Source organism: Homo sapiens, chromosome 21 (assembly GCF_000001405.40).
Source record: "Homo sapiens chromosome 21, GRCh38.p14 Primary Assembly".
Lineage (NCBI taxonomy): Eukaryota > Metazoa > Chordata > Mammalia > Primates > Hominidae > Homo > Homo sapiens.
The window spans coordinates 26,431,146-26,447,197 of record NC_000021.9 but is presented as its reverse complement, the minus strand read 5'-3'; the positions used below and the strand labels follow the sequence as shown (position 1 = coordinate 26,447,197).

The window sequence follows — 16,052 nt, the reverse complement described above, 5'->3', positions numbered from 1 at the left end:
GACTTAATACTACTGAATTCACATACTTAAAAACGATTAAAATGGTACATTTTTTGTTATGCATATTTTACGACAATAAAAAAAAATCCTACTAGCAACTACTAAGAAATGTCAGTCCATGGAGTAAATATTTTCAAAATGAGTCGCTTTCTAGAATCAGAAATGTATGAAAATTTGAATCTGTGCTAGAATTTCAGCATCAGTAACAGTTTCCTACCCCCTCTTTAACGCTCATGGTGCTATGCATACTCATACCAAAATGGTCCATGTGTTGAATGTCTCTTGTGCCTTTTCTCGTGTTCTTTTGGCTAAAAGTCTTTTAATGCAACTGTCACTCAACAACTACCTTATTATCACAGGTGTAGCCTCACAGCACCTTTCCTCAGATGCACCACTCAGCTATCAATCCTGCTCTAGGGCTTCCCCGCTGCTACTGCCTGGTAGACCTGTGGAAACTGCCCAGCCATTCTGATACGTGTGCAGCACTGGAGGCATGAGGGAGTTAACACCACATGGCAAAACAGGCAACTCTAAGACACATTCCACAAAGCTTATCAGTGGGGCCCCTTCAGATCACACAAGGTTGAAATCAAGATGCTGACCGTGCTTGACTCTTATTTGGAGGCTTTGAAGGAGAATCTGTTTGCTCCAGTGGTTGAAGGAATCCAGTTCTATGGCGGCCACAATGTGGAAGTCTCATTTCCTTGCTGGCTGTCAGCCAGTGATCACTCTCAGCAATTAGGAGTTGCTCTCTGGTCCCTGCATGTGGCCCCCTCCGTCTTCAAAGACAGCACATTGAATCTTTCTTACACTTCACATCCCTCTTACATTTCCTTCTGCCATCAGCCAGAGTACATCTATCTATATGGACATGTAGATTTCTGTATAAGTAGCATAGACTAAGGCTGGAAGGACACCTAAGGAATAAGTGGCACTGTGCTTTCCAGAAAATGAGCCTCGGTGGCTGGAAGATAAGGTTGAAGAGAGAATTTTCCATGAATACTCTTTTATGACTTTTAAATTTTAAACCATGTGAATATATTGCCTATTTGAAAATTAAAGTAAAAATTAAAAAGAAATGCAATTATCTTTCATTGATGTTATAACATCTTAATGATAAGAACTAAATATTGAAGCTGATTCCAGTCATACAATTTGATTTTTAGAAAACAGATATAGCAGGGTTGTCATTTTGAGAAATTACCTAAAAAATGTAAGCTTGTCATAGATTATCTGCCCATAAAAGATGCCTTTTATATAGGAAATAGTATTAGTATTTCAGAAAGCAATCATCATGTTATCTGGTTACATTTTAGACAGTATATGACAAAAATGTTGGAATATAAGACTGTTGGTTAGAAGCTATTTCTGGTGCCCTCAAACTGATTATAGCTCAAAAGTGGTGGAAAAGTGTGTGCCATACATCAGACTACGAAACTAACAGACAAAGGCATTTTGCTCTTCTGTGAAATGTTACACAGAAGGCTTGGTCTAGAAGAACATTCCAGGAAGATTTCTGTGGTCACTTCAGAGGAAGAATTCCTTGATTTTGGTAGGCCTCTTTTTAAAATAGCCCCATCTGCTTCTAGTGCCATACTGAATTTTGGCTACAAAACTCACAATTAGTCAGCTATTGGCAAGATTTGTATTGCCTGGAATTATTTTTTATTTTGAGCTTATCTCTTTTTCCCTTTTGTGGAATTTCAGCAACTTACAGACAGGAAATTTATAAGAGCAGTTGTTACAATCCCCTACAAGCAAAGAGGTAGCTGAAGAGCATATGTCAGTCTCTAAAGATGACTGAATAGGAAAATTTGAAGAACTGGGCCACCAAAACTTGCTAGATTTTTCATTCTTCCACGTGTATATTCCATGAACAGGAATCAAAGTCAGTCCTGCTGAGCTGTTATTGAAGCAATGACACAAAACTTTCAGAAGCCTCTATTCAGTCCAGACTGGAAATTCCAATAATTGATTTTTTTTCTAGGAGACATAAAGCTGAAATATGATGACTTTCTAAAATTTTCTTAAAGTCCTAGTTTTCTGTCAAGTCGTTTGTTCAACACAGTATTGCCCATTTAAAGAATTGGATCTACTCCCATTGTATTAGTTTTTATGTTGTGTAACAAATTATCACAAATTTAACAGCTTACCACTATAATCCACTTATTAGCTCACAGAACAATAGATCAGAAGTCCAGGTGGGCTCAGTTAGGTTCTCTGCTTCAGATATCACAAGGCTGAAATCAAGATGTTGACCATGCTTGACTCTTATTTGGAGGCTCTGAAGGAGTATCCACCTGTTCCGGTGGTTGAAGGAATCCAGTTCTATGGCAGCCACAGGGTGGAGGTCTCATTTCCTTGCTGGCTGTCAGAGATCACTCTCAGCTCTTAGAGGTTGCTCTCTGGTCTCTGCACCTGGCCCCCTCCATCTTCAAAGACAGTATATTGAATCCTTCTTACACTTCACATCCCTCTTATATTTCCTTTTGCAACTGGCCAGAGAAATCTCTGGTTTTCAATGACCCATGATTAGATTAGGCCAACCCTGATAATCTCCATTTTTCCACACAAAGTACCACAATCATGGGAGTGAGGCCAGCAGCAAAGGTCATCAGGACCATTTTAAATTCGGCCCCCCACACCTGCTAATGTCCTCTTCTGCATTCACCATAGAGTGAGCATACACATTGTGATTTAAGTAAACATGGTCTTTAGGACTTCCCATTTATGTCTAATTACCAAATCCACAACAATAATTCTGCCTATCAACAAGTTTGAATCAAATCAACTCTTTGTAACTACATGAGATACCAATGCCATATTCTGTTCACTCATAGGAATTAGCGTATAGTTTTAGGTACAACAGTCAATAATAAACAAGGGTCGATTCCCATTCCCCTCACTCACATGTATATGCCACAGTGGGGGTTTTGTTTTGCTTTTGTTTTGGGTTAGCATGTTCATTTAATCACAGTCTAAAATTTTTCCTGAAAACATGGTGATAAAAGCGCACCAGGATTATGAATACTACAGTATTCTAGAATTCTACAGGGTATAACATGATGTATTCTAGTAAGCTCTCTGTGAGTCAGGATAGTTGAGCTATCTGTGGTAAAAGACAAAACACACCTCTGCCAAGACTAGGTCACCAATCAAAATGATTAACTCCAAGTGCAGAGCTTGGACTTGACTAAGAACTGGAAACTTACTAACTTAAGGGGAAAGTCTCTTCTCAATCTCCAGCCTCATGTTTAATTGGAGAACTGTGTTCATTCAAGATGCAGAACAACTTGAAGGGAAAAATGTGGAAACTGTATCCTCACATTAATTCTATTCTAAATACAATGGCTTCATTTTCTGATGGTCTCTGCTATGTTTTAAGCAAGCATGAGATATGAAAGTCTTTTTTATAGGAAGACTAATCAATGAAATTTCAAATAACCAGTTCACTTAGTGAATTTAATTTTCTACTCACATAATCTAGACTTACAATGAAAACTTTCAAGAATCTTTTTGTACTTAAAACATGGCTGTAATATTTTATATTACATTACAGAATTTTATTGCTTTTTTTTGCAGCATCCTTCTAAAAGTAGTATTAACTGCATTTTTTCCATTTTACACATGGGAAAACTGAGACTAGAAGGTGGATTTGATCTGCCTGACTCACATGGTGTGACAGTACAAGAAAATACATAAAGATTTTCAACTTCCATTGTGCCCACAAAAAGAAGGTGGTTTATTTGCACAAGACCAAACTACAGGATACGTTTTTTTTTTTTTTTTACTTTCTATGTTTTACTGATTAGATAGGAATTTAGTCTTGATAAAATTACAAAATCTAATATGAGTTGGATTAAATTGAAGAAAATGACAAAACTAGGTGTTTTTAAGCCTAACAGAAAAGCAAAGAACCACTATGCAATGCACCTACCCTAAAAATTGCACTGTTGGTTCCTCTCACAAGTGTTTGCCCACAATATTTTGCAGGATATATCATCACGTGCTAGAAGAAAGCATAATTAAGATTGCCTGCTGGCATTACCCTATGTAATATAACCAGTTTATGCAGAAGCCCTACTTTGTCTTCCGAAGGTTGATTCAGGAGCTTCTTAATCTGACAAGATATGTTTTATTATGTTTTCATTCATAATGGATATTGGAATAGTTAGTGTAGGAGCTGATTCTTTATTGAAAACAATATATCATAGAGAAAAACTCTTAACTCCATCTGAAAAAGCAATCTCCCAGTACCCAATAATGGATTTATTAACCATCTCAATTTGAGTTTTTCATGAAGCTAATTTTTAATTGTGTTCAGCAAGTATGTGAAAGGTCTTTTATACCAGAAAAAAAAAATGGTGACTATTTTAGGCTAAGCAATTATTAAGTAGCAAAAGCAATGAACTTCACTTAGTTTGCATTTAATAAACCTTATATTTATTGAAGCTTGAAACTCTTGGTTGTTACCACTTATATAACATTGATTTGGTGCTTATATAAGAGCATGATCCAGGTGACATTATCCAAATTAAAAAAGAGAAAATTCCTCATAGGGATTATCTACTGCTCGTAGAGGGACATTTTAGCACTACCTGAAGATCTGCCATACTAAAGTAAGCTTCAGGGGTGGTTGACAAAAATATTCCCTGGAATCCTAGAAATAAACCATTGAATTTTGAAATGTTAATTTACCTTCCTATGACCTGATTCTAGCAGGTGAGAATATACTTTTAGTCTCAGATATGTAGTTTCTGGCCCCTGGTAACAACTCTCACCCTTCTTCACCATTCCAAAAATCCATTGCTCTCCTGGGAACAATAGGAGTTTTTTCCAAAAAATTATATTTATTCAATTCCAAAATAGTCAAGGCCTTGTGTTGGGCAAAAAAATCAGCCCGTTCCCAAAATCATTGCTGATAACATTTAATTATGTAAGCTGCCACTTGGTAATTGTATAAGTTCAAGAGCCAAAATATGAATTTATATTTTCAATTTGTAGTCCGGATCAAGATTATTCTCAAACCAATCTTGAAGGGGCCAGATGACATACCAAGGAGCTATTTCAGGGATGGTCTTCTAGCATTAATTTGAAAGAGTGAAGAATCTGGATTGGTTTTTTTTTTCTAGTACTCTCCAGAAGCACCTTCAAAGCATGAATACATCTTATTCATGGACTTGTTCGAAACATCCTTCTTCTATTTGTGACTCTCAGCAGCAGACAATCCCCAAGGAGCTACTCTGGGTATGCTAGACATCATGGACCTGACAATACACAGAATGAGAAATGACAAGCTAGCCCTCCACTTGAAATTGATCTGTTCCTTTAAACTTTGAAGCTTAAAGACTTACTTATTTGTCATTTTTACTCACTCTGTAGATATGGAATTCTCTTGTAACAGTTTTTGGGGTTGAAGTTTGGTCACTATGCAGTATTTTACTTCTTTTCCTACTTCAGGGATGCATGGTCTGAGTATGATTTATAGCCCAGCCAGTAATCAAAATGACAACATGTAGGAAAGAGTAAATTCACTGACTCCAGAGCTAAGTATCCATCTCAAAGATTTACAGTAGAAATGATGAAGAGAGATCCAATAGCCAAGAAGTACTGCTAGACTCCTTGAATTCATGGTGTTCTTTATTTCAACCCGCCTCAGAAATGGGGATGAAACAAACATTTTCTGATATTCCCCTCATACTACAGTAATGGTGGTAATGGCAGTGATGCTGAGAGAGGAGAAAGGAGAAAAATGATCAGGCAGGCAGTTAGGGTGGGTCCTCGGTTGAACTCTTTAAAACAAAATAACAGACTTCTGGCACAGATAAGGGAATTTGCACAGGGGGCCTTGCCTAAGACATGCCCACAGCTGCACAGATAAGAAAAGCTACCCAGGTGGCTTGCCCAGACATGCCTGCAATGGAAAATTCTGTCTCTTAACACATGTGCTGTGAGGGATACAAAGCAATATGGAGTAACCCAAGCTAAGGACACACACATGCACTAGGAGGATGGGGTGGAGCTACCAGAAATTTGTGCCTTATGCAAATAAGTTGCTCAGCCCTCATCGGTTTCTTATAAAAGCCTTTGTATTCAACTGTAAAAATGGCAACCGTCTTCCAGCTCCCCTCTCCATAGCAGAGAGCTTTCTTTTTACAATTATTAAACTTTTGGCTGGGCACAGTGCTCATGCCTGGAATCCCAGCACTTTTGGAGGCCGAGGCAGGCAGATCACAAGGTCAGGAGATCAAGACCATCCTGGCTAACATGGTGAAAACCAGTCTCTACTAAAAATACAAAAAAAAAAAAAAAATTAGCCCGGCATGGTGACACATGCCTTTAGTCCCATAGTCCCAGCTACTTGGGAGGCTGAGGCAGGAGAATCACTTGAACCCGGAAGGCAGAGGTTGCAGTGAGCTGAGATCACACCACTGCACTCCAGCCCGGGTGACAGAGTGCGACTCTGTCTCAAAAAATAAAAATAAAAAACATTCACCTCAGCCTCACCCTTTGTGTCCACGCTCCTTAATTCTCTTGGTTTTGAGACAAAGAACTCCAAGTGATACCTCACAACGAGAGACTGCTACATTATGGTACATTGGCAAGATTTTGACAATGTTATTACTGGTAATAGTAACAGTAATAGTTGTAGAAGCATTACCATTTGCTATCCTTATAGTTCTATTGTAGATTTTACTATAATCTTTGAAGAAGGCTTACTGACTCTGAGAAAAGAACTAATAATATATAAATAGGAACACTTTTACACTGTTGGTGTGAGTGTAAACTAGTTCAACCATTGTGGAAGACACTGTGGTGATTCCTCAAGGATCTAGAACTAGAAATACCATTTGACCCAGCGATCCCATTACTGGGTATATATCCAAAGATTATAAATTATGCTACTATAAAGACACATCCACTTGTATGTTTATTGAGGCACTATTCACAATAGCAAAGACTTGGAACCAACCCAAATGTCCATCAATGATAGATCGGATTAAGAAAATGTGGCACATATACACCATGTATACTATGCAGCCATAAAAAAGGATGAGTTAATATCCTTTGTAGGACATGGATGAAGCTGGAAACCATCATTCTGAGCAAACTATCGCAAGGTCAGAAAACCAAACACCAGATATTCCCACTCATAGGTGGGAATTGAACAATGAGAACACTTGGACACAGGGCAGGGAATATCACACACCAGGGCCTGTCATGAGGTGGGGGGAGGGATAGCATTAAGAGAAATACCTAATGTAAATGACCAGTTAATGGGTGCAGCATACCAACATGGCACATGTATACATATGTAACAAACCTGCACGTTGTGCACATGTACCTTAGAACTTAAAGTATAAAAAAAAAAAAAAAAAAAAAAAAAAAAACTAGCCTATGCGTGGTAAGAGGAATGAGGAAGAATCTTCAGGTGTTACACAAAAAAATCCATGAGGGCAAGCAAAGAATTTGGAGTCAGAAAATGTATGCCTGTAATTAGCTAATCCAACTTCAGTATTTATTGAATCTCCCTGACTCTCAACCTTATCATTCACACAATGAGAGATTAAATAATATCCAACTTTCTTCTCAATTCAGAAATTTTAAGATTCTATAATTGAATATGTATCTGTACAGTAGGAAGTGAATATTCATTTCCCACTCAGATTACTACCAACTCTACATTTCACATTTTTACCAACATGAACAGTTTTTGTTTGTTTTTCTTCTTTAACCTTAAGCAACACTTGCCCAGCCATTTGACCAAGACTATCAAATACCTTTCCTCACAGGCTGACCATCATATTGTGGTTTGCCCAGGACTGTCCCAGTTTTAAAATTCTAAGTCCTTTGTCCCAGGAACCCCCTCAGTCCACTCAAACCAAGGGAGCTGATCACCCTTCCCACCACAATATTATACCAGTCACTCCTTTCATATCTCCTTCTCCTGCAGTTATTAGTTCCTTCAATGAAAAAATTCAGTTCCACCCAGTTACTGATTCAATTTCAACCAAGATAGACTTTCTATAAGGAACTGTAACAGCTGCCTTCTAATGGGCCTGGAGAGCCTTGGCCAGCTGCTTCCTCACTGAGAATTTATTCCTATACTGGGCCTGAAATCCTGCTATAACCCTCTGACCTCTTAACAATGGCCTTGACAACTTGACAAACATTTCCCCTATTCTCAGATGGGGGTTGTAACCTATGTTTGTATTCCTTGATGAGGGTCAAAATTCCCTTTGAACCAGTTGAGCTTCCCACCTGATAGTGAGTTCTACTACTCTCTCAACTTCTATGAAACATCCCTCAGGCTGGGCTCTCTCTCCCTGTTGCAAACCCTCCACCCACTCCTGACGGGGAATCTAGGCCAGCCTAGATCATGCTGAGATGGCCAAATACCTCTGAGCACCATAATTTGTGCTAACAGCCACCCTCGCCACCATCCCTGGTTCCTCTCAATCTTGGCTTCCCAATTCTCCCACTAGCTTGTTATTGGAGGTTCCAGCACGAGGTATGAAGTTCCAGCCCAAACTATGGCCATGCTCACTAACATTGGGATATGACCCTATCATCCTAAACATGGCATTTCTCATCTTCGATTCCCTTAGCTTTGATTTATTATTGAAACCTGTTGTGGAACAAGTGGTGCTAATGCAGTAGCTCGGTTTCTCTCCTCACATTGGTATCAGCTGTGCCACAGTGTGGCTAGAGAAAGGATTAAGTCAGAAAGAGAATGAGATTGCTAACACTTCTGACTATCTTCAAATACTTAATGACCAAAGTAGAATTTCACGCAATCTTTTTTAACATACATGGACTATATAATTTTAACACGAAAAAAGCACTCACAGAATAAACCAGGATCTTCAGCCTCACATGATGTCTTCAGAGGCTATGGGGTAAGGATTGGATCTCCTGACAGCTGTCAGTCAATAGATAAACCAAGAATATTGTTTGAATTGAATTCACACTTTCTATTGGAGCTCTGCAATCCTTAGTGCCAAGCACCGGGAATAATAAACACAAGCTCTATGAGGAGCTAAGATCCTCCTTTCCTGGCAGAAGGTTAAAAGTAGCCATGCTGCAGCCTTTAGGAAAGTAAGATCCTCATTCTAAGCCAAGACATGGACATGGACCTCACAAAAGGGATAGTCAAATGTGGGGAGGAGAGGAAAAGTCTGATAGCAAGTATTGTCCAGTGGCTGTTTCCCCAAGGGCAGTATCAGAGGATAGGATTCAAGTGTTTCCAAAATTGGGCAATTCTTAAATTAAAAAGAGCATAAAGACCCATGCTCACCACATGCTGGATAGCGAATGTCATGCAGATTGGGAAGTTTGGAGTAGAACAGAGGACAGGAAGAGAGGCAAATTAAGTAGCAGCAACAAAGAGGAGAGCAGTCATGGGGCAAACAGCTAAGAGCTGCTGGAGCTAGAAACTGCTGAAGAGACAGGATTGGCACCTCCTGTGGAACAGGACAGCAGAGCAGAAGGGAGAGACAAAGGGAACCATCCATGTCAGGGTGGCAGTCTGCTGAGTGAGGGCAAAAGCTGAGCTCTGTCTGGACAAGACACAGTCACACTGGGACCTAAACAGGTGTCATGAAGTTGATGCACCAGTGCTGAGGCAGGAAACCATGGAAAGGGGAACTAGTGGGTTTGCTTTTCCATTATGACCTCATTCTTAAAAATTCTGACAAAAGGCACACATTGCTAAGTTCTTGTTCCAGCATTTCACTGCCAAGTGCCAGAAGAATGAGGTATGTGAAATTACCCCAGAGACCAACCAGACATTTAAGTAGTAAACTCATACACATCCAAGACTTGTCCAATAAGGAACAATGGAGGAACCTACTAAAAATTTCTGCAGGGTCTGAGGGTTATCAAATTTGGCTAAACTCACTTTCAATAATAATGCTCACTGCTGCCATTAAATTCCAGATGTGTAAGATGGAGTACAGGAGAGGCAACTGGCTTAGCAAAGGATGCTATTTCTATAAATCCTCCAATGATCCCCACCACCTCGCCCTCCCCGAAACACAAACACATACACACACACACACACACACTGGAATAAGATTGAACAAAGAGTTAAAAAACCAAAAGTCAAGATACAGATAAGCCACTCATAAATTATAAAATCTTAGACATTATGTAAATGTTCAGGCTTAATTTTTTTATCTGCAAATGAGGGTAATAATGTTGCCTTTCAGTCTTATCACAAATATAAAATAAAAAAGTAAAATGTGAGGAGTATAAAGTGCTAGAAATGTACACTACCATTATGACTACATAAGGATAATAGGAGAAAGCTTTTTTATTTAATTTCATTTTTTCCTTATTTCTCTACCTAAACCTACAGAAATATGCTACTTCCAGATTGAACATCTTTTTCAATCCTAGTAAAATATGACAAAGTACAGAGAAGCCAAAAAATATTTGGACCATCAAGCTCATCAGAAATGCTGCTTATTGGCTGGGTGTGGTGGCTCACGCCTGTAATCCCAGCATTTGGGAGGCCAAGGTGAGTGGACCACTAACTAGGTCAGGAGATCGAGACAAACCTGGCCAACATGGTGAAACCCCATCTCTACTAAAAATACAAAAATTAGCCGGACGTGGTTGAGCATGCCTGTAATCCCAGCTACTCAGGAGGCTGAGGCAGGAGAATTGCTTGAACCCGGAAGGCAGAGGTTGCAGTGAGCTGAGATCACTCCGTAGCACTCCAGCCTGGGCAGCAGAGCGAGACTCCATCTCACAAAAAATAAATAAATAAATAATAAAAATTTAAAAAGAAAGAAATGCTGCTTATTAAGAGCAATTGTTAAATATTGTCTGCATACTAATCATCAGCAGAAGATTAGCATAACTGGCTCAATCCACTAAGACATTACAACAGCCTTTTCCCTTTGTTCCTCTTCATATCCCTCTCACACTGTACATTTTACTTTATCCTTCCTCCAAAATTGTGATATTTACCTGATTTTCCACCAGTAAGTCTACTTGACCTTGTGTATAGAATTTAAACTCACTTGATTCTACACTGAAACATTATAAATATACCTTATTTTAAATGTCTGCATAATACAGTTACAGTGTCTATTATTTGTCGAAGTCTCCTTCTAATGGAGACAAATCCTGAAGTCACTGTTCTGGCCTTATGGCTTTCTTTACACTTACGAAAAGGAAAGGGGACAGAGGAAAGTGAGATGGAGAAGAACTGGGAATACTAGCAAGAATATGATTTGAAATTCTAAATTGTCTTGGAATCCTCTCTCCCCCATCCCCTACAACCAACTGCTCACTAAACTTATCTTTAGATATATTTTCATTCTGGCCTCTCTCTCTTTTATTCTCAATTCCCTCTTCTAGATAAAAATACGCAAAACTCTTACAATATTCTTTTAACTGGTTCCTTCTTTCAGTCCTGCATTCATCCAGTCCAGCTTCCAACTCCAATCAGCTGTCTCTGTTTAAAGCCCTCTAACTGTCCTCTGTTGTTTACAGACTAACACCACATCTACAGACACTGACCCTAGATCACACCTCCAGGAGACAGGAGACAACATCTTAACACTTTTCACCATGCATCCTCCTCTTGAATCAGAGTGGACTATTTGTAACTTTCGCCAGGTGAGATTTTCTTAAATGGAAGCCCATTAAAAAAACATTGGCCGGGCGCCGTGGCTCATGCCTGTAATCCCAACACTTCAGGAGACTGAGGCAGGCGGATCACTTGAGGTCAGGAGTTCGAGACCAGCCTGGCTGACTTGGTGGAACTCTGTCTCTACTAAAAATACAAAAATTAGCTGGGAGTGATGGCGCATGGCTGTAATCCCAGCTACTCGGGAGGCTGAGGCAGTAGAATTACTTGAACCTGGGAGGCAGAGGTGAGCCAAGATTACGCCACTGCACTCCAGCCTGGGTGACAGAGCAAGACTCCATCTCAAAAAAAAAAAAAAAAATTAGAATGATCCTATCTTTTGCATCCTAAAGATTAGCTTTTCATGTAAAAGGTCTTTCTGCTGTAGATAATAAAACCATTGTTCTTGCAGAACTTAGAGTTAGGAAGAAAAACATTACCAAATCTAAATTATAGCACACTGCTGTGGTTGCTGATTTCTTTTACTCTTTCAACAAACATTCAGAGTGGGCCCATTATGTGTTCTTTACAGTGCTTGGTGCAGTAGACCAAGTGAATAGTCACTGTCAACTGGGACTGTTATGAATTCTTTATAGAAGAAATGTAAATCCATGTAAGGCCCTCTAGACAACAGGGCAAAAACATCCCAAATGATTTGAAAGAGCACAGAAAAAGTCACACGTGTACATATATACAGGGAATAAGTTTTAGAATTACATGATTATAATGAGCACAGTATGTTAGAGAACATAAAATTAATGATTTAAGTAATGCCAAGGTCTTGTGCCACCTGTTAAAAAAATTTTTACAGCAACTTTTGGGTATAAGAGTCATTATTGGCCGGGCGCGGTGGCTCACGCCTGTAATCCCAGCACTTTGGGAGGCTGAGGTGGGTGGATCACGAGGTCAGGAGATCGAGACCATCCTGGCTAACACAGTGAAACCCCGTCTCTACTAAAAAAGTACAAAAAATTAGCCGGCCATGATGGCGGGCGCCTGTAGTCCCAGCTACTGGGGAGGCTGAGGCAGGAGAATGGCGTGAACCCGGGAGGCGGAGCTTGCAATGAGCCAAGATCGCGCCCCTGCACTCCAGCCTGGGCAACAGTGCAAGACTCCGTCTCAAAAAAAAAAAAGAGTCATTATCTGCATGGAAGTGGGAGGAAAGCTAAGGATAAGCTCCACATTGTATAATAAATACCTAATGTGTCACTTTCAGCACCTGGGCATGAGGGATTTTGGTAAAGCACAGGAATGAGAGAAGATAAAACAAAACGAAGGAGCTTCACAGAACTGGAGCATATGTCAACATTTTCAAATATTTAGATCTCATTAAATAGGCAAAACGATACCTTCAAATGGCCTCCTTGATGTGCTGACATTAATTTGTTGTGATTTACTGACTTGCTGGGTCAAACCATCTCTTTTAGGATTGGAGTTCAGTTTCAGTTATAATTTATTTGGATAGCATACTATTTATTTATTCTCATGTTATTTTTAGAATAACAGAATAAAATAGTGTTTCAAAATAGTTGGGGAACAGCATAGACAATCCAGAAATAGACCCACCCACTTAGAATCAATTGAGCTGCAACAACTTGGGGAAAGTAGAGAATACTATTTTGACAATAAAAATGAATGAACTATCGACACACTCAACAACATGGATAAATTTCAAAACCTAGTATGCTGAATGAAGGAAACCAGGCACAAAAGAGAACACACTGCAAGATCCTATCCATATAAAATTTTACGACAGTCAGAACTAATCTATAGTGATAGAAATCAGATCAGTAATTGCCTGGAGTAGGGGGTGGAGATGGGCTTTCTGGGTGATGGAAATATTTTATATCTTATTTAGAGAGTGGTAGTTACATGGTATGTCCATTTCCTAGTGCTGCCATAGCAAAGTACCACAAACCAAGTGGCTTAAACAGTAGGAATGTATTGTGTCATAGTTCTAGAGGCCAAAAGCCTGAGACTGAGGTGTTGGCAGAGCCATGCTCCCTCTGACGGTGCTAAAAAAGAATCCAATCCAGGCCTTTCTCCTAGCTTCCAGTAGTTGCTTGGCTTATGGAAGCATAAGTCCAGTCTTTACATGGTGTTATCCCTGAGTGCAAGTTTCCATCTCCAAATTTCCCCTTTTCAGAAAGACATCAGTCATATGGGATCAGGGCCCACCCTAATGGCCTCATTTTAACTTGATTATCTCGGTAAAGAACTTATCTTCAAGTAAGGTTACATTCTGAGGTACTGGGGGTTAGGAATTCAATACATCATTTTTTTGGAGGGGACACAATTCAACGCATAACATATGGTTACGCATTTGTCACAACTCATAGAACTGTACACTTCAAATGTGTGCATTATATTTTACATAAATTATACTTCAATAAAATTGATTTTGAATAAAAATTTTATCATGTAAATGCATATTATTATCAAATAGAGCTTAAAATGCTCTCTCTCTACAATAGCATGCTATAAGAATAAAACCTGTTTTGTCCTACACTCTTCTTAACTATATTAAGTCCAGCATATTAAATTCAGACAAACGACATCATTTCTTCCATTCATCTTCATTTATTAAATTAACCAACTCTTGTTGAATGCTACTTATATCTTACATAAATTGAGTGATTTCCTGATAAGAACTAATTTTTTTAATGCAAGGATAGGAATACAGTTAAGTAATATAATGAGGTAATGAAAAGAGAAGTCAAGTCTAGGATTCTACATGATTTTAAATCACTTTACTTTGATTTGATCAGTGCAATGTTGAAGAGGAACTCCCACCCTCGAATGAACGGAGGAGACCTCCATAAATCCAGGGACTTGCACGGCAAAAGGCATCTCAAAGACCAACTGTTGATACCCTCTTGTTAGAGACATACAGAGGTTAGGTGCCTGTCTCGAGGTCACATGGCTAAGATGCCAAAATGGAAACTGAAAACCACATTTTCTGACAACTTGACATATGCTCTTTCCAAGCCCCTTCTCTGACCACACTCCTGTATGCTCTGTGAAATGCAGAGAGGGAGAAGAACTTAACATAATCACCACAGAAAAGGAGGATAGAGTTTCACGTCCAAAAATGTCAAACCCTAATTTCTTAGTAGGATGAAAATATGAGAATGAAAAAATGCAATACTGTAAAATTGAATAAATTGTATTGCTTATATTTGGAGCAATCTTTATTATGGATAAGTAGTTTTTCAAAAAATTCCTGTCATGTGGTGGTGTGTGAAAGTTTGAAAAATGCAGATGATTTTTGACTTAAATGGTTCTCAAATTACATTTTAGTATATTTGTAAGAGGTTATGTCTTTGGTTAATTAAAGTGCACTTGTTTTTTTTCTTTCAGTTATAAAAAGTTTCTTGCTTTTAAACAGAGTGAAGCCATAGAGATAGAATGTTATGTCTCTGTAACAGTCAAATAATGCAAAGTGAAATGTATTTTATTTGCCTCATAAAACAGGACTTCTGACACTATGGCATAGTCCCTGCAAAAAAAGAAATTGTCTGGAGATATAATAATTTGTGATGTGATCTCAGCGTATATCATATATATATATGCATACTTGTATTCATTCTTTTAATTCATTTATTAAATAAAATGTGTTGAGCATTTGTTACAAGCCTGACTCACCACCATAAGATTGAAAACATGAAAATATAAGAGTATTCAAATTTTCCTTTCCATTTCCTTATCAGAAATATTCATTTAGTCTGCAACAATTCTTAGAACAAAATAACAACTTCAGGCCAACTGCCAAATACTTACCACTACCACTATCAAAACTCTTTCTGGAAGTAGATGCAACTTTGACTCACCTCACTGACAATAACTTAATTTGTCGTGGGTTCTAGGTGGTCTAGGTGTCCCAGACACAGCAGAGAAATAAAATAAAGACCCTGATACCAGGAAGCTTACATTCCATTGGGAGAAACAAAAAAAAACAGATAAATAGAAAGTATAATGCAAGCCAGGGAAGAAGAATGAGAAAGCACGGTAGAAAGGTAGCAAGTAATGAAGGATGGGGATTTGCTATCTAAATAAGATGGTCCAGGAAGTCCTAAGTAGACGACATGTGCACAGACACCTGAATGGAATTATGAAGGAAGCCTGTGTATATGTTGGGAGAAAGCATTACAGCCAAAGGGCATAGCAAGGGCAAAGACCCAGGTAAAAACATACTCAGTATGTTCAAGGAACAGAGAGGAGACCAGTGTGTCTGGGGTGCATGGAAAAGTGGTAACATTATAGAAAACAAGATGGAAATGTAAGTTCTTGTCTTTGTATTTTATAGTTAATGGGATGGAAAGTCTTCTGTAGTGTTCTAAGATAAAAAGAGACATAATCTGATTGACATATCTAAAAGGTCACTTTGTTTTCTGTATGTAAATTAGATCTA

General features: G+C 38.7%; 2 long non-coding RNA genes across 5 annotated transcripts in view, besides 1 other annotated feature; one reads left to right on the top strand and one right to left on the bottom strand.

Annotated features, from left to right (window-relative positions):
* CYYR1-AS1 (CYYR1 antisense RNA 1) overlaps positions 1–16,052 on the bottom strand; it is a 175,618-nt gene that overhangs the window by 122,055 nt on the left and 37,511 nt on the right. The gene's annotated exons all lie outside the window — the stretch shown is intronic.
* Positions 5,109–6,308: an enhancer, noted in NCBI's record as "MED14-independent group 3 enhancer chr21:27813209-27814408 (GRCh37/hg19 assembly coordinates)". NCBI's record gives its function as "activates an origin of replication core promoter dependent on BRD2, BRD4, P300/CBP and CDK7 cofactors, and independent of MED14, by STARR-seq in HCT116 cells {active_cell/tissue: HCT116}" and the evidence as "EXISTENCE:reporter gene assay evidence [ECO:0000049][PMID:35650434]".
* On the top strand, positions 9,719–15,192 carry LOC105372758 (uncharacterized). Of its 3 annotated transcripts, none has more exons than XR_937627.3 (4): positions 9,719–9,758; positions 10,361–10,522; positions 11,506–11,631; positions 15,116–15,192. It is a non-coding gene; the product is annotated as an uncharacterized LOC105372758 (long non-coding RNA). The 3 variants fall into 3 exon arrangements; XR_937624.3 differs by lacking the exon at positions 15,116–15,192 and adding an exon at positions 14,410–14,554; XR_937626.3 differs by lacking the exon at positions 15,116–15,192 and adding an exon at positions 12,858–12,943.